This window comes from Homo sapiens, chromosome X (genome assembly GCF_000001405.40).
Source record: "Homo sapiens chromosome X, GRCh38.p14 Primary Assembly".
Lineage (NCBI taxonomy): Eukaryota > Metazoa > Chordata > Mammalia > Primates > Hominidae > Homo > Homo sapiens.
In genome coordinates, this window is record NC_000023.11 from 11,177,856 (window position 1) to 11,202,699 (window position 24,844).

Below are 24,844 nucleotides of genomic sequence, written 5' to 3' on the forward strand. Positions count from 1 at the left end.
CCATGGAAAATGACAGCCTCATTTGGAAGCATACTTGAAACATATAAGGAGGCTCATGGCCCATGCACTTTTAGGAACTGTGCCTCCAGAGAAGGCCCTGCATTAGTCTCTTCCTACAGAGACAGCTAGGTTGGAGAAGGGGAGACATCATTACCTCCAGGCAAAATGGCCATTTTGGTGGTATGCCCTTTTAAAATAGGGGAGAGGAAGAGTCACGGCATCTATGGCAGCAAAGGCATCTTACCTCTTGCCCATCTTTGCTGATGTTGTCATCGGCATGCCTGGCCACGATGGAGAGGAACTGTAGCAGGCGGTGGAGGGTGTCGCAGTTGCAGGGAGGTAGAAGGTATATGAGGAGCTGCAAGGTGCCCAGCTGTTCCTCCGGCTCCAACACTAAGCAAGGCAAAAAGAGGTACTCAAATAAAAGGGGAGCCCATACTATTCAGGCACAGAGGAAAGGCCTCCTCTCAATTGTCTTAAGAAAGGGATTATCAAGGCAATTCCCATTTCATGCCTTCACTCATTTGCCCATTGCTTTAGCAATTTACCAGCAAGATTCTATGAAAGATATAAAGCCAAATTAGACCTCGAGAAGTGTAATACCTAGAAAAATAACTGTAATCCAGGTAAAAAAAAAAAAAAGGTAACTCAATTTCCCTTACTTTCTTCTCCCCCCTTCCCTGGCATTACTCATCACCTAGTTTAAGGATTTCAGTCTTCCATTTTTGGTAAATATTTATTAACAATGGCTGAAAATTGGTGAACATTCTGAAATTTGAGTTTATAATGGATTTAAGGCTCTTTTCTGTTGAGCAATTCACAAGGGACAGATATTTTGTTGGCAATAACCAAGATACAGCAAAGCCAATGTCTTCTCTCTCCGTTGTGATCCTATTTGAATGGCAGCATTGGAGGAAGAAATGTATGGAGGTTGACCCAGGTTTGGCCTATCTCTCCTCTACCTCCTCCTTTTTTTCTTCTTCATGGGATCTGTAGCTACAGCCCAGAAGCAGCTATGTTGAAAGCCCTGGCACTGGGCTATGGCATCTTGCTTCTCCTGGAATGTTGCTGCCCTCCTTTCTCACTCTGGGTTCTCGTGGTTCCCTCCTTCTTCGTACCAGAAACACAAACTCATTTTTAGGCACAGACTCAATGTGAACTCTTGTTGGTACTCTAAGCACTAACTCATAGTACTTTTTACTGTTCTTGGGTTATTTGAAAGCATCTCAAATTCTTCTTGGCTATTTCCATTTGTTTTATTGTAACTTTCTTCTTGCTAATTATTCCCAGGGTAAATCTGAGAAATTCCCTCAAATAGCTCACTCTTTAGAGATTGATAAATAAGGACAAAAAGTTATCAGGAAACATATGCATAAAGTTATGATGAATGAGTTGGACATCTTAGTATTCCAGGGCCACTTTCCCACATATGGCTGTATTACGCACAGAGAGTGTTGATGAAAGCTGTGTACAGCTCCCTGGTGAGAAGGGGGTCTGGCATGTCCCTCAGGAACTCTTTCAGCAAGGCTGCCACATCATGAACACTGTGCTCCTCCTCCAGAGAGACATCAATCCCACGGTCAAATTCCTCACGTAACTGGAAGAACAATGGTTCGAGTGGCAGTCACATAACACCATACCTCAATGAGCAGTGCCCAGCAGGAGAAGTGCTGTGACACGTAGCATCTGGAATTAAGACTGCACAGACCCCAAGAAGGGGAAGCAAACAACATCCTCACCTTGATCTGCCGAGTTGACACAGTCCAGCTATGAATATGTGTGTGTGTGTGTGTATACATATATATGTATATATATGAGTATACACATGTATATATGTATACATATATACAATATATGTATTGTATATATATGTATTGTATATGTATATACATATATATGTATATGTATACATATATATATATATATATAAGCATTATTAAATAAAACTATCTGTGGATTTATTGTTAATGATGTATGCAGAAGGGCTTGGTAATGACAACCAGGTTAGGAGGAACACCTAAGAGGTAGAAGACAATTTAGGTCAGCTATAAATGTGGGAGGGAGGAATTAATCTATTACACAGCATTTCTGTGTGTCACCAATCCTGCCATGTTTGGATGTTGATATTTTACTGAGTCACTCTATAAGAAAGCAAAGAGATTTTTTTTTTCTGCAAAAATGAAATTAAGAGCCCTGATAACACATTTATGACTAAGACTTAAAAGATGACAATAACTAAATAAAAGCTGTCTTAGATTTGTCAAAGTAGTCTTATTAACAATTACCAGAAGGATTCCCTGCCTTAATCATTATACTAGGTCTATTATCACTTGCAGCAGCAAGAAAACACAGTAGCAAGGGAGTAATAACTCCACACCCTACTTTTATCTCTAGCAGCTCAACTTTTCGTATGCATTGTTCTCTGCTGTAGAAATAATTATGTAACTTCATAAACCTACACTATGCAAAAAACTTCTCTAAGAGTTCATTTGTTTTCAATCTTTCATCCATCCATTCATTCAACAAAGATTACTACGCATTTCCTGTGTCAGACCCTGTTACAGGCTCACAAAATACACTAGTGAGTAAAGAGGCAAAGTCCCTCTAGAGAAACAATGTGATAAGCAGGTAATCCCACAAATAATTCACTCTTAACATTGTGGCTAGTGATCTAAGGAAAAAGTGCAGGGTGCTAAGGGGTTATATAACAAAGTAAAATGATGAGTGAGTTAGGGCATATTTCATACTTGAAATCTACTTCTAAGTAAACACTAATTATATTTTTATTGGGTAATCCTTAAATACAACTCCATGCAAAGGTTTCCCCTTTAATGGATCCCGATATAACTGATGAGTAATTTCTGGCACTCGCTACCTGTCCACCTGATGAGAATGAATACCCATCACTGTCCTGAACTACTCATTGATTCCAGACAGCACGCCATCAGCGTGTGTCAGGCAGCCAAAACAAAGAAGACTTCCACTGGCACTCCTCCAACTTGTGATCATTCAAACACACCATGCTTCTTTTCTGAGTATACGTACATGCAGAAAGAATGGAACATGCAAAGAGTTTGGCCTATGAAGTTAATGGTGACTGGTTAAACTGTGTGATCTTGAATTATGTTTCTTAATCTCTATAAGCCTTGACAGAAGTGGGTCAAAGGGGCTACACTCACAGCCGGTTGGCAGATTCAGTGAGATAATATTTGTAAAAATATTCTGCAATTCTGCACAGAAATGTTACTGTACTATCTTTCTTCCTGCAAGTTCTGTTGTGAAACATTAAATGTTGATCCATTTAATGTTTCTTGTGTAACTATTAAGAATAAAAACCAACCAACCAATCAGAAAACATATTTCTGTTGAAAGCCTTTTTTGTCTTGACAAAAAAGATAAATGAGGTATTTATTTCAATTACTTTCAATAATATGAACAAATATCATTTCTTCAGCTTCTTCCAACTAAAATTTATTTTCATTTGAATTCATTTTTGAGTTGCTGAGTTCCTTATCTCCTTCCATTGAAAACAACAGGAAGAAAATAATGCTTTAATTTTCCTTCACCAACAAATGAACTCTTTTCTCAAAGGATGGTTTGCCTTTTATGAAGCCATCATGAACACAAATACCTGCCTCATCACAGGAACCTATTGTTGAAGGTCTAATATCAAACTTCAGTTGCAGGAATGTTGCACAGGGCTGAAGGAAACAAAGGAGCACAGTCTCTATGTGAAAAGCAAACTGGGGGTCAATGGTTCTATGGAAACTTCATAAGAATTATTTATTTTTGATAAAGTAAAGCTATAAACATAGCATCTTATGTGAAGGGAATGTTAATGGCATTTTTCATATCACATTTTAGTAAAAGCGGGTGCTACATACAACTTTATATCATTTATTGATCAGTCACTCTGAATTTCCTGCTTTTGCAATTTTCAATAAGATGTTTATAAATTAGTTTTGTTTGGCTGCACGTGGCACAGATACATCCAGACATTTTGCTTTCAAGTGTTTGATCCTAACTGTAACAACATTTCTGAGTTGTTGCCTTTTACCTCCTGGAATTCAATTATATTATAATAGCTTGGAGGGTAAAAAAAAAAAAAAAGATAATCAAAATGGAATTTGCATAAACTTGAACTTTGCAAAAGGTAATTCAATTGAAAGTCATGTGAAACAAAATATAATCTTTACTTTTCACTTACTTGTCTCACTCTCTTTTTTGAGCTTCCAACTCGGAATATCCCCACTGTCTGGAGGCCTGCAAATAAGCAAACAAAATGAACAGTCTTGTTTCATGGCTTGAGACCCTGGAGGAAATCAAAATACAGAGCAGAATGCCAGCACAGTGCCGTAACATGTAGAGCAATAGTAACTTGACAGCATACAGTAATGCTTCTTTCATCTCACACTATTTCTATTATCCAGATACTTAAAGGTCAGCCCTTTAAGCACCAGAATTTTACGTTAAATGTTTCTGATCAAATATTTTTCTTGTGATATTTTATATTTCTAATCTTCTCCTTATCAGAGAAAATGAGCTTTTGTCCATTATCCAGAATTATTACCTAAACACACATTTTATAGGGATTCTAACTCTTTATTAATTTCTAAAAGATATTTCTTGTTCGTCTGATCATAATTAAAGTGTGCTTCTTAAAGAAAATCTAGAAAATGCGGAAAAATGTAAAAATAATATACTTTTAGAAATACCTGATGCAGAAATAATCACTCTTCATTTTCTTTTCTTTTCTTTCTTTCTTTTTTTTCCTTTTTTCTTTTTTTTTTTTTTTTTTGAGATAGATTCTCACTTTGTTGTCCAGGCTGGAGTACAGTGACGTGATTACGGCTCACTGCAGTCTTGACCTTCTGGGCTGCAGTGATTCTCCCACCTTAGCGTCCAGGGTAGCTGGTACTGCCAGCACATGCCTCCATGCCTGACTAATTTTTGTATTTTCTGGAGAGACAGGGTTTTGCCATGTTCCCAGGCTCAAGCGATCCACCTGCCTCAACCTCCAAAATTGCTGAGATTACAGGTGTGAGCCACTGTGCCTAGCTAATCTTTCATTTTTTAAAATCCAGCCTTTTCTACATGAATGTAGGTATTTTTACATAGTTGAGATCACACTGCATATATATAATATCTATTGACAGAGAGAATGTTACTGCCTTCCCTCACTATCGTGTCGCATGAATTTTCACTCATGCTAGTAACAATTCCTTATAAATGTCACTTAAAAGGGACAAAAGACTACAAATTGGGTGTAGTGTATACTGCTCGGGTGATGGGTGCACCAAAATCTCACAAACCACCACTAAAGAACTTACTCATGTAACCAAATACCACCTGTTCCCCCAAAATCTATGGAGATATAAAAAAGATGCAAAATATTCTATTGTATGAATGGGCCATAATTTACTCCATATTCCCCTCTGAATGGTGCACAGGTCCCCAAAATATACATGCTTATTTTTCTACTATAAATGACCCTATTGTGAACAATTCTGTGCACACGTTTTTGTTCACATTTCTGATTGCTTTTCCTAGGATCATGTCCTAGATGTGAAAATATAGTGTCAGTGCTGAGGTTGAGAAACTCATTTCTAAAAAATTAGGTCTCTTAAAAACACAAGTAATTTCACTATCACATATTAGAAATTTCAACAATAGTTCCTTAATAGCATTAAATTTCCAGTCAACATCCACATAAAGGTCACACACTGTCATATGGTCGATGTGCCTTTTAGTCTCTTAATCTGTGTTTCCTCCCTCTGTCTCCTTTTTCCTTATAATTGTTTTGGTGAAGAAATCTCAGTGATTTCCTACTGTAGATCTTCATATTGTTTGGATTTGGACACTCCATAGTGTCATTTGTATGTTCTTCTCCCTCTTTTATTTTCTGTAAAGAGATAGCTAGAGCCAGACATTACTCTGATTGCGGTGTGATTTTATAGGGCAAGAATACTTCACAAAAAGTATTGTGTACTTCCTTTGGGAGCATGAAACGTCTGAATGGCTCTCCTTTTTCTATGCCAGTCATTGATCATTGCCATTGATGAGCATCATGTATATTAATTCTTTCATTGGTGGCTCATTTTCTCTTCATTTGAGACAATCAGTTATGAGAGTGATGGGATATTGGAGCTGCTAACCGCCATTTGAAGCCACATGAAGAGAACTGTCTGAGAATAAAGCCAGCAAACAGAGGACACTCATGACATCGTTTGAATCCTGGATCCAGCCGTGCCTAAATCTAGATCACGCTCCCAGTATATAAAGATTGTTGTTGTTATTTGGGGGAGGTCACTTTGCTTAATCTAGTTTTTTCTGAGTTCCTTTCTCTTGCCACTGAAAAATTTATGACTAGTACAATATATAATTAAATCAGAAAGAATTGTATTTTTTTAAATATAGAATTGGGGTCTTGCTATATTGCCCTGGCTGGTCTCAAACTCCCAGGCTCAAGGGATCTTCTTGCCTTGGCCTCCCAAAGTGTTGGGATGACAGGCGTGAGCCACGGTGCCCAGCCTTAAATCTTTATAACATTATTTCTTTACATCCAGAAACAAAGTAAACATCTCAATTTGTTTTAGTTGTGTTTTCTATCTCTTGGTAGAAAGAGAATAGTCCCACCTGTGTAGAAAATGTCCTTATGTGATATCTTGCTTCTGTAGAAATTTTAATTATTCAGAAACCATGTGAAAATAAAAAAATAAATGCAGCCAAAATTAAAATTACTGTGACCTACTATTGAAGTTTTCTATTTCGTACATAGAAGATTCATTCAGTTCACTCAGAGTCTATTTCTCTCTATATAATAATATATGCCAGGTACTATTCTAAGTACTGTATGCACATTAATTAATTGAATCATTGCACAACTTTTGAGGTGGGTACTTACGTTCATTTTGCAGATGAAGAAATATAATCCTGTATTTTATTCTAAATAGTGTGATTATCCGGTTTTCAAGCTTCCAAAGTGATAGAAGCAATAAATTAGGCAATTTCATTATTGTGCAAACACCATAGAGTGTACATACACCACCCTAGATGGTATAGCCTACTATACACCTAGGCCATATGGTAGAGCCTAGTGCTCCTACATTACAAACCTGTACAGCATGCGACTGTGCTGAATACTGTAGGTAACTGTAACAAAATCTTAAGTATTTGTGTATCTAAATATAGTAAAGGTACAGTAAAAATACAGTATTATAACCTTATGCAATCACCATTGCCTATGCAGTCAGTCAATGAGGGGAATGTCATTATGTGGTGCATGACTGTGTGTGTGTGTGTGTGTGTGTGTGTGTGTGTGTGTATGTGTGTGTATAGAGAAAGAGATGTATATTCAAGATACATAGGTGATACACAGGCAAGTGAAAGATAAGGTGAAAAAAATTAAAAGAACCTACACTTAAAATTTTGTATAAACAAATAAGATTTTGCTACATTAGTTTTATTAGGTCATCCATATGTTATCCTATGATTTCCATTGTAATGAATTAAGAAATTTAAATATATCCTTAATGATTTTAAAATAAAGTTCCATTTTTATTAGAAGGAAATAGATGAGAATGTTAACAGTAGTTATATCTATATGGTAGCCTCAGAATTTTCTTTGCTTTCACGTTTACTTTTTTATTACAATGAGCATATTATTTTTACAGTTAAAAAAAGTAATTAAGCTTTTCCCATGTATATAAAACACGTGCTAACAAACACTATAGCATACAAACTTAGTTTATGAAAATGGCAGTTAATAAGCCAGAAGTCTAAATTTCAGAAACATTTTTGAAGAACTGTATATCATTCTTAAGTCAACTTAGTAACTAGAATTGAGTTGCAAAGGGTGGCTTGGAGAAATTTTAAGTGGACAGCTTCCACAAAAATGCAAATAGCAATATGTAAACCTGTTGTCAAAAATGATGTATTTTCTATTCACTTAAGCAATGATTCCCCAATTTTTTTTTTAAGTTGGACTCTTACTTTTTAAAGGAAACTTTGTGAGTAACCTCCTAGGCTACTTTTATGTATAAACAATAAAAGTGGCTCTGGTCTGTTTGAAAGAGGTCCTGGTGACAAACCCAGCCCAACAGATCTGATCATTCCCTAAACTGCTTGGCCTCCAAGGTAACTTCTGAGGACTACTGGGAGCTAAGCAGTCTGAATATCATCAAGTTGATTCACCCTCTTCTCCAATCTTGTTTAGCCCCACAATCTCTTAAGCAAACACTCACATCTGTACACTTTCACACAGTAAATTTCAGTTCAGAGCTTGATCATTTGATCAAGCAGAATTGACATTGGGTACTTCAGTGAATGATGCTTGAATAAATGAAAGTCCTTAGTACTTTAGACAGACAAGTCTACTTACCATGTTTTTCTAGGTGCTGACAGCAGCTGTCCACCAGCCTAGGGACCTGTCTGTAAATAGGATTCAGACTGAGTTTCTTATCTCTGGCTTTTTCCTTTTTACTTTGAGCCTCAGCAGGCAAGGAAAGTTGTAAAGCTTCTAGTAGTCGAGACTGATTGTCATCAAGATCGGTGATAGAATCCACTGACATGGCACCCTGCAAGTGACACAGAGCCGTGAACATAAAGTACAGATAGCCAAAAAACCCAGCTGCCCCCAGATGCTAACCAATACATACTTTTGCTCATGACTCTTTATCACACTTGAAATACTACTGCTTGATTTCTTTAATTGTTCTGTTTGTAAATTAAAAGAAAAAAGATGCCTTTTGAAAAAGTTAGAAAACCTCTACAAGATTTCCTCAAGCTAATGGCAGTTACAATTTCAACAATAGACAACATTTTCCAAATGGAAGAACAAGCGATGGGAAACATATAATTAAAGTATTTTGGCCCAACCACTTCATTTCTTGAAACAAGAAAAAAATTACATACTCAATCAATGAGGTAGTCAGAGAAGTCTTGTAAATAAAAAACTCAACTATGGCTCTAGGAAGTATATTTTTAAAATAGAATGATTCCACAAAACAGCCTTAGCTTAGTTTTCCCGAGAAACAACACAAAGTGCTTTATTAGAGAAGTGGTCCTGGGAAACACCTGTAGGGGAGGGGGGAAATGAGACAAGGAAGGAAAGGCAGCTGATGAAGGGAGCATTATCAAGCCTATTATCATTGTGGGCAACTGGAGCTCAATCTTTCTGGGGAGCTCTAGGAGACAGCTGTAGATCATGCACCTTAGAGCTATCCCTATCAAGTGAGAGAGCTGGGGTATTTATACACCAGGCCTCAGGAATCACTGCTTAAGGGTAGCCTCTGGTGGGGGCAGAGAGATAATATTATCTCCTAAGTACTTACAGCCTGCCATTTGGATAGGCTGGGTGCCTCTGGCATCAGAGAAAGCCCTCAGCAAATAAATAAGGTGTTGGCAGATGGAAGATGAGCTGGCATGCTAGGAATGGTAAAGGGTCAGGGAAAGGGAGCAGGGCACCAGTCGCATTTGCCGCACCCATACTTGATGAAGCACTGAGAAAGCAGTTGGCTAGCCAGGCCTGGACAGACGAGAGGGCATTTGGGAAAACCATTGCCTGAGTCCTACATTCCCAGAAAGCTAAAATTTAGAGTTTTAGTGTTATTGTTGTACGACAATACACAGTCTGAGACACAATGACAGAATTAGAAGAACAATTCCATCATGCAACTTCAGGAATTCCATAATTTTGTAATTTCTTCATTTTTAAACATAGTCAATACTGCAAAAACAGCAATGGATCAGGTCCCCCTCTACCTTGGACAAGCCCTAAATGTTAGGGGCTGATTGAAAAATGTTGGTTTTAAGTGGGAAGTGTCTGGGGTTTTAACTAGGGCAGTCTTCAACAGCTGGAGGTGGCAAAAATTTCAGGTCTCCACGTGACAGAGGAAAAAGGGAGAGAGGGTCAGGCGTGGCGGCTCACGCCTGTGATCCCAGCACTTTGGATCACTTGAATTCGAAGGTTCAAGACCAGTCTGGGCAACACAATGAGACCACATCTCTACTAAAAATAATAATAATAACAGCTAGGCGTGGTGGTGCGCATCTGTAGTCCCAGCTACCGGGGAGGTTGAGGCAGGAGGATCACTTGAGCCCGGGAGATTGAAGCTGCAGTGAGCAGTGATCATGCCACTGCACTCCAGCCTGGGCAACAGAGCAAGACCCTGAGTCAAAAAATAAAAGATAAAAATAAAATGCAGATTTGTTTTACAAAAGGGAGAGAAGATCTTCCAGTGACCTGGAAGCTTTAGAGATGCTTATCAACTGACTCAGCCAATCACCAACCAGTTTGCATGAACAATTCAAATAATAGCACAGTACCTAGAACATAGTACTTAACAATTGGTACCATATAGTTAGAGTATTTGAAAGAGGATATATAGAGGATTCTATGGTTCTGTTTGAGAAAAAGAAATGCTCCATTGATAAAGAAAAAGCTCATTGTTTATGAAGACCCACCGCCAATTCATTTGGCCAGGCATGTTCTCAGACTGGTGATGAAGAAAGTATTAATAGCTAAAACACCAGGCCCTGCCCTCGAGCCTCACAGTCTAGTGGGCAAGTATGGCAAGACTGACAGATTACAAGAGACCAGAATTAATGGTGATATTGCCGAATGTTTAGGAGAGCATGGAGCAAAGATGTGACAAAGGAGGGACACCCAACAGCTTCAAGAGGAGTCAGGACAAGGTCTGAGGCTATGCAAGGTGCCACGTGCCCAGTGCACATTCTTCATTAATGGCATTGTTGACAGATACCTGAACACCAACTACATATCCAGTTTTCACATGAACAAAAACGCAAAGAATAACTGTACATCTTCAGTTTTCCTAGCACTGGTGTCAGAGCAAATACTGGCCACCTCACCCTCCTCCTAGCCCGAGGAGCCGGTTCCGGGGTGTTTGGGGACGTTGACTCATTCGGTGTTTCTGAGGTTGAGCTGAGAGATGAGTTACTGCTTGAGAGTTCTTTGTTTTGTCTTTTATTTCCAAATGGGAGGAGGGAAGCCACAAAGTCAGATGCATCTTTCTGCTCGTCCCTCTGCAAGTCCTGCTTGAGTTTATAGGCCCTGTCATTCGCAATGACTTGGGATAAGGGCATTCCAAATGCCTGTGGGATGAATTCTGGAATCAAAAAACAGACATTCACTTTCAGAGACTGACTGGTCCAGTGAACACTCTCATTTATGTTTCAGACCTAAGTAAGAACAGACATATTCAAAGGAATGTTTTCTGAAGAATTGACTCATCAATCAAAAAGGTGACATTTGTGTTAATCAGAATGGCCCAAGTTTCCATTTCAATAAAGAAAACTAGTATTTATAAACACACATCTTAGACATTTAGGTCTCTAGTTTTTCTCCATGTTTCAAGTCTATCCATTCATTCAACAGGCATTTATTGAATGCCTACTACATGCCACAACAAGCTAGGCAATGGGAGGCGCAAAGCTTATAAAAGGTACAGTCCTTTCTCCTGAGGTGTTCAGAGTGTGGGTTGGGGTGAAGGAGTGGATAATCAGAAATGCAAATCATGATAACAGAGTGAGTATCAGGTGTTAGAGAGATGCATGAAACTAAGGCTGAAATTTAGTTAACTGAATACACTTTGAGGTTCCCAGTAAGAGTTAGCATGTGAAATGATAACCTGACAGGCAGAGGAGCAGCTTGGGAACTGGTTGGGAAGAAGTCCACTCTGTTTTCGTTGTGTTCCTCATCCCTACATTCTATTTCCAGCCAGCTATGTTGGGGCTGTCACTCTCGTGATCTACACTCAAGCCATTCTACTGGCCACATGCAGAGTGGACTCAGCCACTAAATATCTGGTGGGAGGCCCAGGAAACAATTTGTTAAATCCTTTAGTAAGGAGAATTTGGGGAAAGGGGCATAGTGCAGAAATCAATGGCTTTATTTGGAGACATACATAGAGTTCCTTTCTGAATTTCTGTCGTAAATCTGTTTGTATACATGTACCTTGGATCCTTAGGGCCAGGAGTTTTATTGGCAATATTTTAGATTCATGCTGAAAGGCACTAAATAATGTAATCAAATGTATTATTCTTTTTAGACTCCAAATTAGGTCTCCTAGCAGCAGTAAGTTGGAATCTAACCTCTCCATTGTTTTTATAAGCCCTATGAATGAAACTAAAATGATCAAGGGAAAATAATTCTAAGGTTGGTTGTTCTTTGAAAGAAAAAGCTAACATTAAATCAGGTAGAAAGAGACTTTAAAAGGTTTTCCTCCTTGATCCATGGCAATATTTCAAACATCACTGGGCTAATGACCAAGTCTACATTAAAAGCAGAAATGCTACTTGAAAAGCCTGCACCTCTGGTTCTATCAAAGCATGCAATTTGTTTTGAAGTAAAAAAGTCAAAACTTTAGTATTTCGGGATTTTCAGAGGATGCTTGCCATTCTTTAGCAACAAGCTAGGTGATATATGGTAATAAAAAATAATTAGGTACTTCTCCTTTGAGTGATCAATTTAGACAGTGTAGTGAGGTGTAATTCTCACTATTGATAATAGGCTGTGTCTACTACTAGCAAAATTAGAAACCAAAGGGGATAGTACCAGACCTCCTGTTATGTACCCTGAGGAGATATATATATATATATATATACATATATCTATATAGATATATCTCTATATATACACATACATACACACACACACATACATATAATCTTGTCTGTAGAAATGATCAAATATTACTTTTAAAAGGTTGGAAGAGTCTGGAAACATGTGGATGGTAAGGCTGACAGCTACATGAAATAACAGAAACAGAGGGGATAATAAGAGTGAAAAGAACATTGATAAATGTAGCAAGTGACATGTCTGCTCAGGTGGGCATATGCATGGCAGGGATTTACTATAAGATAGGGACTACTGAGCCCTTTCCCAGTCATTTTTTTCCATCTAAGGAAAACCAACCAGACTCGTTTAGAGACTTCTTATACCTCTGGGGCAGATCTTCCCCACCAGCAAATAATTCTGCCTCCTGTTTCAGGAGAAGAGCAACCAGCAGGTGCAAAGGCTCCAACTCTTCACACCTGCTGTACCTGTGCCCTCCACCACCCTCCTTTGCATGAGATGTAGGTGTGACTTGGCATCCTGCCAGCCTTTCTGCCTCTCCCTGGTTCCCATGCTTTCCCACCTGCCATTCAACTATGGATAACTTTAAACCATGGATAATGGTGTACTGCACTCAAGAGCTCAAAAAAATTATCCTAATACTCTTAGGTATAAATAGCGTTCAGCAATTTTCTGTAAAGGGCCAGATAGTAAATATTTTAGGCTTTGTGGATACGGCTGGGGCTTAGAATGGCTAGGATGCAAAATGATAAGGTGCTCGCATTCAGCGTGGGGCAAGTGCAGAGTCAGCATGCAGACTTGGCATTTCTTTCAATTCTGTAGCCTAGGGGCTCAATTTGTCTCACTCCAGCCTCCGCACTGTTGGCAGGTTGCAGTCTTTGTAGCAGCTACTCGACCTGCCAGTTTAGCAGGAAAGCAGCCACAGACAGTAAGTAAATGAATAGGCATGGCTGTGTTCTAGTAAAGCTTTATTTACAAAGACGGCTGGTGGGCCACCCCTGCTATAAATTACATCTTCTTGTGCCTGTATCTTCAACCTCTTTTTTTCTACTAGATATTTTGTACTAAATTTATTCAAGCAGCTATTTCTTAAAAAAATAAACAACCTTCGACCCACTCTTTTCTTTTCTCCATGGTTTACCCCCTCTCCTTTTGCCACAGTTAAAATTGTCTAAAGTGTTCCCTTTACTTTCTAGCTTATAACTTTCTCACCTACCACTCTTTCCTCACTTCATCCCGTCTAGCTGGTACCTCCATTAGATTCTAAAGCAGCTCCCTCTAAATCATTGCTGTCTTCAGGGTCATTAAATTCAGTGTTTTTGACAGCTCTGTTTCATTTGCCCTTCTGTCAGCCTTTAACCCTGATCGCCATTTCCTGAAATGCTCCCTGTCCTTTGCATCCTGGATATACTAACTGGGTTTTTCTCTACCTCTCTGGCTACATTCTTGCCCCTTTTTCTGGCTTATCATCTTCTACCTGGGTTTTCAATGTGGAAGGTCCTCAGAGCTCAATCTTAACCATCCTCATCACTCTGGTCTCTCTCTGTAAGTGACAGCACGATGCCCGTAACTTAAACTTCCATCCATAGATATTTCACACCTCATTGCTACCTCTAGCTCAGACCCCTTCCTTGAGCACCAACCACTTCTTCCACCTTCATATCTGGATGTCCCAAAGGCATTTCTTATTCTTCATCTTCCCTTATCAGGTCTTACTCAGATTTCCAAAAGTTTGCCTGTTCTTCATGTGGGAGAACCAGAAATCTGAGAGTCATCCTTGATACTTCATTCCTTCTTACATCTCATTTTCACTCCGTCATCAAATCTTTATCATGTCACTTTCACATTATCTCTTTTTTCCATTTACTTCTCTCCACTTCCACGATCACTCCCACCCTAGCCTAAGGTACCATTATCTTTCTCCTGAACTTCCAAATCAGAAGTCATGCTGTGGCCCAGTACTGTGTGAGCTGGCCCCTTCCTAACCTTCTCAGAAACCACACACTCCCTGGTTCTTTCTTCTCTTCTTATCCTAGAAGTACTAGCACTCAATGACAACATTCAATATATGTTCTTTGAGAATTTCTACATAGTGATAACTGATAACTTGATTATTCTGCTATTTAATGTGGAGCAAAATTAAAAGTTGTATGAGCTATTTGTATATAGTGTTACTTCACAGCTCACATACAGTTACATACCTAGACAGTGAGGAAAAGAAAACATGATACAATATGCTTTCACCAAAAAGAACAGTGCCAGAATTGAACTCTTTCCAGATTGTATGTAGATACATATATGGCATAATCTGAAAATGTCCTGGCAGGGGTTGTGGGGGGTACAATCTCCCAGAGTTACATCATAGTAAAACCTATTCCCCATGTGCTCAGTTTAGGAAGCACATTAATAAAACAAAGTAGCTATTTTTAAAATTACTTAATTTTAAAATTACTTTTGACACAGAAATTTTCTGAAGTTCTGAAAGTTTTAAAAACACTTTTGGTTGCCAAGAAATATAACTAAGAGAAATTAAGGACTTGGAATTATTCTGTATGAAAATATGTTTTCTGATCAGTGTCAATCTTGAATTAGTTCCCATATGTAAATCAAAAGTCACATGGGCACTGCCTAAGTGGCATGAGGAACATAGGAGTGTCACAAGATCTGCTGTATATCAAGGCAATTAAATAACATACAGGATATGATTCATTCTGATGAAATCAATTAATATGGTAGCATATCAACCATTTATGAATCACTATTGGGAGAGCAATTCGATTCTAAAAGGCTGCTTCTATTTATTTTTAGATGACCTAACTCAAGAGATCATTTAGAGTTTCCTGTTTTCCTTCTTTTACTCTTGGATTCAAATGATCGTTTTTCACATGTGCAGCTGTTACAAATCCAAATGCTAATACGCAACTGGAAGGAAATAATGTGAATAGATTACATCTGTGCCAGACCGGCACCCCGTCCTCCTCACACCCTGGTTCCCAGGATATCCATGTAATGACTCTCAGTGTTGACATGGACAGGGCTTTATGTTCTGAAAAGATGCCATGTAATTAACCTTCACTTAAGCCTAGGTTAGTTTGTTTTTAAACATTAAAGCTACTTAAAATTTTTTTGTTTTGTTTTGCCATGAAGCCTGATATTTCTCCCCTTAGTTGGGTGGGTGATATGTCTTTTCTTTGGAACCACCAGGATCTGCCTTCCTTTTCCCACTTAGCTACCTTCGAGGCACTATAGAACATTTCAGAGTTTTCACTGAGCCTATGTAAATATGATTTAGTTTAAAAAATCTATAATGGCCCAGTATGTATTGTTCGATTACTTCCCTAGCCCTTCCTTCCATGTTAATTCAAATTCTTGCTTCCTGCTGCTTTGTATATATAATACATGCAAGCAAACATACATCTCCTTCTGTTGAGGGAACATCTCATCATTCTGTTGAGGGAACCTCCTGCAAAAATGCTCATTCTGCTTAGTCTAGCCAAATGGACACTTTCTGAAAAATCACCTAAAGTCCACATTAGATGTATTTGAATCCCAATATCAATATCATCATCCTAGAATAAACCAAGTTTAAAAGAGAATACATTACTAATACCAACCTGAGTGATCCCTTTAATATGCTCTATACATATGGAAAATTGCTCTAATCTGGAGACATAAAAGTGCTCTACTGCAGGAATAGAATGAGCAAAAACTCTAGTTTAAAAGAGCAATGCTGGCTATTAATATTTAGGTCATTACAAAAATAAGGGCACAAACATATCAACAATTAAATATAACACAATTTATCAGACTATAATAGCTAGCTGGACAACCCTTAGCCCTCATTATTCCAGCAGCAGATTCTGCTGTGACAGAATGTGGCCTGGTGAGTATCCTAGTTAATATGGATCAAAATTCTTATCTAGAAGTTGCACTTTAGACGCTCTTAAAAACACCCATGCCTGAGGTATCCCTGAAGAACACGAACTCAGACTCCCTGGGGTGTGGGTCTTGGACTTCTTAAAGGTTCCACAAGTGATTCTATTGTGTAGTCAGGGGTGCGGATCACTGACACTTTCACCTTCTTTTTTCCAATTTGAGATAAACATTTGAAATGTCTGAAGATATTTGGGTTGAGGGTGGTGTCACTGGCATCTAATGAGTAGAGGCCAGGGATGCTGCTAAACATCTCACAATACACAGGACAGCCCCTACCCCAGATAATTATCCAGTCTAAAATGACAACAGTAGCAAGGTTGAGTAACCTCACTCCAAAGGAAGTAAAACAATGGTTTTCCATTCTTTAGAATTCTTCACCTTTTTTTAGTCTAAAGAACCAAATGTCATGACTGTTCAAGATATAGGTGTAGAGACTGAGATCAATGGTATGGAATAGCTCTTGTCCAATACTGATCCCAATGCATGTTTTAATACCCTTGGTTTCATCGCCTTCCATTACTTTTAAAGCAGAAATTCTATCATTATATAAAAGGACTCCAAGATGAGATGTGTATGGCTGTTCTCATTCAAGACTCGTTGACTGTGTCACATAAAGTGAAAATAAATGCATACAACCATACCATTCAGCAACCACTTCATAACAGACTATAAAAATAAGCAGCAAAAAGTGCGGTGGCTCATGCTTGTAATCCCAGCACTTTGGGAGGCTGAGGCGGGAGGAGCACGAGGTCAAGAGTTCAAGACCAGCCTGGCCAACATGGTGAAAGCCCGTCTCTACTAAGAATACAAAAATTAGCTGAGCATGGTGGTGCGTGCCTGTAATCCCAGCTACTTGGGAGGCTGAGGCAAGAGAATTGCTTGAACCTGGGAGGCAGAGGTTGCAGTGAGCCGAGATTGCACCACTGCACTCCAGCCTGGGCGACAGGGCAAGACCCTGTCTTGAAAAAAAAAAAAGGCACAAAAAATTGGACTGCGTCAATGGGGCTCAGGTGTCCATTATGTGAGCTTGAATATCAGTTTTAAATGACCATAAATACCTCAGAGAGTGGCTAAAGTTTTAGTTTCCTAAATATATGCACAAGGGGACACAAAACAGTAAGATGAGAGTAAACAATTCCCAAAACATATGAAGCAAAAGATGAGTATACTGTGATCTAACATAAAAATGCTGAGAATTCACTTACAAGTGGGAGCTAAACATGTTCATATGGACACAAAGAAGGGAACAAGACACACTGGAGCCTACTTGAGGGTGGAGGGTGGGAGGAAAGTGAGAATTGAAAAACCACTTATTGGGTACTATGGTGCTTACCTGGGTGATGAAATAATCTGTACAACAAACTCTTGCAACACACAATTTACCTATATAAGAAACATGCACATGTACCCTTGAACCTAAAACAAGAGTTAAAAAAAAATACTAGGCCGGGCGCGATGGATCATGCCTGTAATCCCAGCACTTTGGGAGGCTGAGGCGGGTGGAACACAAGGTCAGGAGATTGAGACCATCCTGGCTAACGTGGTGAAACCCTGTCTCTACTAAAAATACAAAAAAAAAAAAAAAAAAAAAAAAAAAAGCCGGTTGTGGTGGTGGGCGCCTGTAGTCCCAGCTACTCGGGAGGCTGAGGCAGGAGAATGGCATGAACCTGGAAGGTGGACGTTGCAGTGAGCCAAGATCGTGCCACTGCACTCCAGCCTGGGTGACAGAGCGAGACTCTGTCTCAAAAAACAAAACAAAACAAAACAAAACAAAACAAAACAAAACAAAAAAACTAATAGCCACTGACTATTCCCTAAAGTTCCTGGATCTTTAAAAAGGAAAATACTTGTTAACTCAAGTGAATATCTAATCTGGGAATTCTTAATTTAGGGGGTGGTAGGGTGGGCATTGGGTGAGTTTCAGGCCTTTGATAGAGCATCATCATTGTCAATGATTCTTAAAGGGCTCTGTGACCCCCAAAATATTAAGGGCATTTGCTTTAACCTATCTTGGCTGAGGCAATGTAACAAAGTAAAATGTAAGCATTCAGGTTAGTTGCAAATAAATATTTTTCAACTGGGTGAAAAAAAAAATGCTGAGAATGGCCTATCTTCAGTAACCCATGAGGATGAGACTGTTTCTTTCCAGTAGTGGTGGTAGGTGAATTCAAACTCTCATTAAACTAACCCTGCCTGTCTGGATTTGCCAGACAGCTGGTTAGCATTAGAGATGCTCTCCATAGCTTCTCAACCCAGGTCCTCTTTATGTATAGCTGATTGGTCAAAATAATAATTGGAACCACAAACTTGGCCGAGGTCACACTCTCCTCAAACCAGCTGAATTCATCAGTTCAGTACAGGGCTGCTCAAACACAGAAGAGTAGACCAAAACAGCCCTTAATGACATTCCACTGTAGAAATCCAGTTTTCATAACAGAGTTGAACCACGTATATCTATGCAATTCAATAACCCCACCAAATTTAACCATTATGCTCCATGGAAGATGCATTTACATTGGGTACTTTACCCTTTACCTTTGTCTTTGTTTTTCTCCTTTCCTAGTGAATCCAGTTTCTTTCTTAAAGATTTCTTTCTCTTTTGTCCATCTGTAAATATTAAAAGGAGAAGTTATAAAGATAAACATATAAGTGATATTTTACAGTATCGATAATTACATTTGAGCAAAAGCATGGCTTTTCTCTTACTTCACTTATAATTTGACATTTTAAGCAGAGTAACAGCTCTGAGAATACATGAAAATCCTGACTTGGATACCACATATTACCAGAATTTTGGTGTATATTCTTGAATTTCCTTTCAGTCATGGAATGATAGGAAACTTACCTCATTTGGAAGTAATTTAGCTTTGACATTTAGATAGGTTTAATTTTACTATTATCTAAGTCTCTTCCTCTTCTCTGTGGTTACATAACTTAATGTTCATCTTGAACCTAATCTCCATGAGAAGAGAATCAACAGCATGTATAGCTTTGACATTTACGAGCTAGGAGAGTATAACTGGATAAGAAAATGGATTTGGAGGTCCATAGAACTTAGGTCTAACTATTGCTGCACAATTTACTATGTGACTTTGGACAAGTCTTTGTGTCCTCATTTATAAAATGGGAATATCACAAGGTTGTTGTGAGAATTAAATGAAACAACACATATAAAGCTCTTCATAGGGAGTCTAACACAGTTCAGGCTACTTTCTTTGTGGGGAGTTCCATGGTATAGCTATACTGCAATTTAGTTAACCATTCCTCCATTGATGAACATTTTGGTTGTTTCTTACTGTTTACTATAATAAGTCAGAAATACATTCTTTTACAGTCTAGTATTTGCAACAAATGTACTTAATGTGTCTGCTTAACTCACCAAATAATAAAGATACCACTTATATCAGTGGGCAGCTGCAATCAAATTCTTGGGCTGTCATCATAAAATATTGGCATTCATCATTGCCAGAATGCGTTTTGAGGTTATGCAGCTGTCAACTTAGCATGTGGGAGGTGCAAATTCAGAATCCACACTGTGATCAAATAGGGGACATGCAGACCATGCCACAAGGAAACATATGGTGAAAAAAATGATTAAGAATTGTTTGTACAGGACACACTAAAAATGTAAAGAAAGAGATTCAGCCCAATACATTTAAAAGCAAGACTATAATATCAGGATAAAACAGAGTAAGCATTATGAAACAGAAATGAGCATTCCTGGTATCCTCACAGAGTTACAGATGTCCCCCACTCCTCATTTTTGGAAGGAAAAAGAACATCACAATATAATCAACAGGCACATTCAATCCTTCCTTCTTTTCAAAGATTTCAAAAATGACTCTCCTGCCACCAAAAGAAAATAGTTCATAAGAATCTTCACTCTTGTAGTCACGCAATTTGTATTGGGGAAATTATGTAAATCAGTTTTAATGTAATGTAATTGATGGCAACAGCCGTCAATCTCTCCCATTATGTATGTGTTCATAGATATGAACAACATCTAAAAGATGATCTACTAGGGCCTGTCATGACTTATTACACAGACCATAAACATGCTAACTGTACAAGATTCTAATCTGTTCTCCAATTAGGCCTTACAGGTCTTTTACTCTGTAACACTTTGTTCATAGCTAGTTCATATCTCAAATGTATTTGGCAGTAACAAAAATTCTTTCATTTCAATAGTTGACCCAGCAGAATAACTAAACCATCTATTAAAGCTTAAAAGATTTGATTTTTCATAACCAATGGGCAGATCCTAAAATTCAAACAAGTTGCCAAAAGTCAGAATACATACCAGATAGAGGACATTATTTTTAAAAGATAAAATGATTCTTAAATACTTAAAACTTATGTATTCTATGTAGATGTGTATAAATACAAATGTTCTGTCTAAGTAATAATCGTAAGTCCAACTCCAACATATCTAATAGCCAAGTTAAGCCAAGTTAAGACGTAGACTATTGCTAGTACCTGAGAAACTACCTGTATGCTTCCCTCCTCCTAGCCCCAGATAATTACTAGTCTGACTTTTGCAATGATCAATTATCAGATTTTATTCATAGTTTTACCATCTGTTCATGCATTTGTAAAGAATATGATTTTGTTTTTCCTGTTTTGGGATGCATACAGATGGAATCACATTATGGATACTGTTTCTTGCCTTGTTTATTTTGTTCACCAACACTTCATGAGATTCATCCTGTTGAAGCAGGTAGCTGTAGATCATTCCTTTTGATTGCTATATAGTAGGGGTTTTTGGTATGAATATACCACAGTTCATTTCCTCATTGAACTGTTGATGGTATTTGAGTTGTTTCTAGCTTGGGGTTATTAGGAACAATGTTTTTGAAAGATTTTGCTCATGTCTTCTTATGAGCGTGTATGTACACAAGTCTCCCTGAGACGGTGGTTCTTAAAATGTAGTTCTGGGACCAGCAGCATCAGTATCGCCTGGGAACCTGCTAGAGGTACAAACTCTCTATGGTCCCACTCCAGATATGCTAAATCTGGAACTCTGGGGTGTCACCCAGCAATGTGTGTTTGAACACACCCTTCAGGGGATTATGGTGCACATTAAAGTCTGGTTCACATTAAAGTCTGGAACCACCACTCCAGGGTGTATATGTAAAAGTTGCATTGCTGGATCTGTGTATATGCAATCTCAGACTTTATTTGGTAAAATCAAGCTTTTCAAAATAGTTTTGCTCATTTGTATTCCCACAAATATGAGAGTTTACATAATCTCACAAGGATAATATATACTTTAAACTCCAAAACTCCAGACAACATCTTGAAGTCTCCTTACAGGCAAAGTATGATCTTTGAGAATGCTGGCCTATTAAAAAACACTTAATTACTTACAACAAAATTTTTTCACTTAATTAGATAGCGGTGAATGTTACGAATAGGTAACTATACAAAATGATGGATGACGTGCAATAATGTGAAATGAAGCATTGCTTTAGCACACCATTTTCTCTTTTAAAATCCTCAGCAAAATGACCAGAGATGCACAATGCAACTGCTTATTCCTCTTCTCCTTTGTGATTAATCTGTGGTTTGTCTTGGAGTCCCCCATTTTTGAAGAATAAAATGTCTCATCTTTTGTTCTCATAAAGCATAGAAAACTTGCTCAAGAGGCTTATGTGCTTGCAACCATACAGAACAGTTTATGTTCCACCAGCTCCTTGGATGGCAATAAGTGTGGTTAAATGCCATTCTGTCTTTTAAAGAAATGCAAGCTCCACAACTACCAATACTGCACAGAAGTGTTTTCATGGTGCATATGGTGATGAGTGCATGCTTGCTAACTGCTCCCAGTGTGTGCACTGTCTTACAGACAACAGTGACCTGCAGGAACAACTGGGGTAACATGTCCTGATAGAATACATCTTGGAATAAGCACATAGGGATTGGCCTCCCTTTGCCCTCTTTTGTGGAAGTCCTCACTAATGTGTCAAGAGGAAACCATGTCCTACATGAGAGACCTCACAGACACCTGTGACACAATAGCAGATGGCAAGGCAGCAAGCTTTCCACATCCTAGTGACCCCAAAGCAAAGGACCCAACTGTGTGGGAGGTGGTTAATCTGGGCATCCTCTTGGGAAAGACCAATACCAAACAGTGTCTTCAGGACGGTCGAAAACAAGAAAACATGAGATTGCTCCCTGAGACATGATTTTTATGGATTCATTTGCTGTTAGGGATGGTATTCCATTTTAAGGCTTCTTTCTCTAGTTAGACTAGCTCTCTGAGGGTGAAACCAGGCCTCCTAGGCATTTGTCTCCTTCCAAGTGAATAGCCCAGCATGGGGCATGCCCTGAGGACTTGTCAGCACTGTCCAAAGCCAGGAAGTCAGATGGAACTCTTGGGTTGGGTCTGAGCAATGAAGTGCATACCTCCTAATTTTAAAGTGATCAGATTCAGAGAATGAGGCTTATAAAACAGTATTTTCCATATTACAATTAATTCTAGAGATAATAATAGAAATATTGTCCAAGGAAAGATTTGTTTAGGTGACAGAAGGAAGAGTAAGGGTTACCTTTGAGGAATAAATATTACCTGAAAGAGGGTATGAGGGACTCTTCCGGGGTGCTGAGCATGTTCTACATCTTGATCTGGTTGGTAGTAACATGCCATTCACATATTAAAAACCTATCGAGCTGTATTTGTGCACATTCATATTTATGTACATTACTATATATGTTATTCCTCAATGAAAGTAATAACAAAAGACCTCATCATTTTTGCAGAAACGCACTAATATGAGAGTTAGTTACATTCACTGAATGGGGCTGAAAACTCAGCAACAAAGTCCTTCAGAAGAAAGTTCTGAAGTGTTTAACTTTTCTAAATATCTGAATGCCAATGATCTCATCTGACCACCACAACTTCCCTGTGATACAGCACACAGTAGTAATAAATAGTGTTTATTGAGTAAGTACTATAAGCTAAGTGCTTAGTATCCAAAATCCTATTACATCCTCACAGCAATTCTATGAAGCCAATATTATTATTCTTTCCATTTTACAGATAAGGAGACTGAGATTAGGACAGAGTAAGTAACTTGTACATGGGCAGGAGCTGTGAGATGATAAATTCAGAACTTGCTCACAGGACTATCCAATGTCAAAGCAGGTCCTCTGTATTACTCCATTCTTATTCTGCCATAAGAACATACCCGGACTCGGTGATTTATAAAAGAAAGAAGTTCAATTGACTCACAGTTCCACATGGCTGGGGAGGCCTCAGGAAACTTACAATCATGGCAGAAGGGGAAGCAAACACTACCTTCTTCACATGGCATCAGCGAGGAGAAGTGCAGAGTGAAGTGGGGGAAAAGCCCCTTATAAGACCAACAGATCTTGTGAGAACTCACTATCACGAGAATACCAGCTTGGAGGTAACTGCCCCCATAATTCAATTAATTCCCACTGGGTCCCTCCCACCACACATGGGGATTATGGGAACTACAATACAAGATGAGAGTGGGTGGGGAATATAACCCAACCATATCAGGTGGTTTCAACTTGCATGCTTATTTTTATGACCCTCCACTACTGTACCACTGTGTGCAAACTGAGCATCTGGATCTGTGTGTGTGTGTGTGTGTGTGTGTGTGTGTGTGTGTGTGTGTGTGTGTGTGTGTGTAGCCTGGTCCACAGGAAATACTCAGCAAGTATTGGCTGGTATTCTTAGCTATTATGGGTAAAGTTGCTTGGAGGTCAGTTAGCAGAGAAGTTGACTGAGTTTCTGGTCACCTGGCAGGAGTTGGCAGTCTTTCCGGAGTTGTAGCAGCATTTAACACCTGAGAATTTCTGTTCACTTGAAACTTCTTCATTTGAAGGAGCTTTAGCACACAAATCAGAGACCTTCTGCCTAAGCATGTCCAGCCATCTTTAAAAAGGCTTCAGAGGTGGCTCATTGAAGGCTCTCAAAATCTATAACCGGTGATGAGGTACTGTTCCCATAACCCTAAATCTATCCATAGGACCCTGGTGTGATAAATTAGATTCCTGGATGCATTTCCTCTCATCTACAGTCCCTGTCAGAGGATGGATAGTTACCTTTACAACACTAAAGAATACAGGTGTTTAAACAAATATGATATTTGAAAGCTTATAAGAATTGGGTGGGCATGGTGGTTCACACCTGTAATCCCAGCACTTTGGGAGGCCCAGGCGGGCAGGTTATTTGAGGTCAGGAGTTCGAGACTAGCCTGGCCAACCTGGTGAAATCCCATCTCTATGAAAAATACAAAAATTTGCTGGGTGTGATTGTGGGCGCCTTTAATCCCAGCTACT

General features: G+C 38.8%; 1 protein-coding gene across 5 annotated transcripts in view; it reads right to left on the reverse strand.

Moving 5' to 3' along the window:
* Nucleotides 1-24,844, reverse strand: part of ARHGAP6 (Rho GTPase activating protein 6) — a 528,377-nt gene that overhangs the window by 40,312 nt on the left and 463,221 nt on the right. For all 5 annotated transcript variants that reach the window (NR_109776.2, NM_013427.3, NM_001287242.2 and 2 more), the window contains 6 exons: nt 19,070-19,141; nt 10,873-11,129; nt 8,381-8,576; nt 4,208-4,263; nt 1,447-1,597; nt 245-393 (listed from right to left, as the gene is read on the reverse strand). Coding sequence is in view for 4 of the 5 variants with exons in the window: in NM_013427.3 (NP_038286.2) it covers nt 245-393; nt 1,447-1,597; nt 4,208-4,263; nt 8,381-8,576; nt 10,873-11,129; nt 19,070-19,141 (881 nt within the window). In the remaining variant the exon portion in view is untranslated. The remainder of the gene's footprint in view (nt 1-244; nt 394-1,446; nt 1,598-4,207; nt 4,264-8,380; nt 8,577-10,872; nt 11,130-19,069; nt 19,142-24,844) is intronic.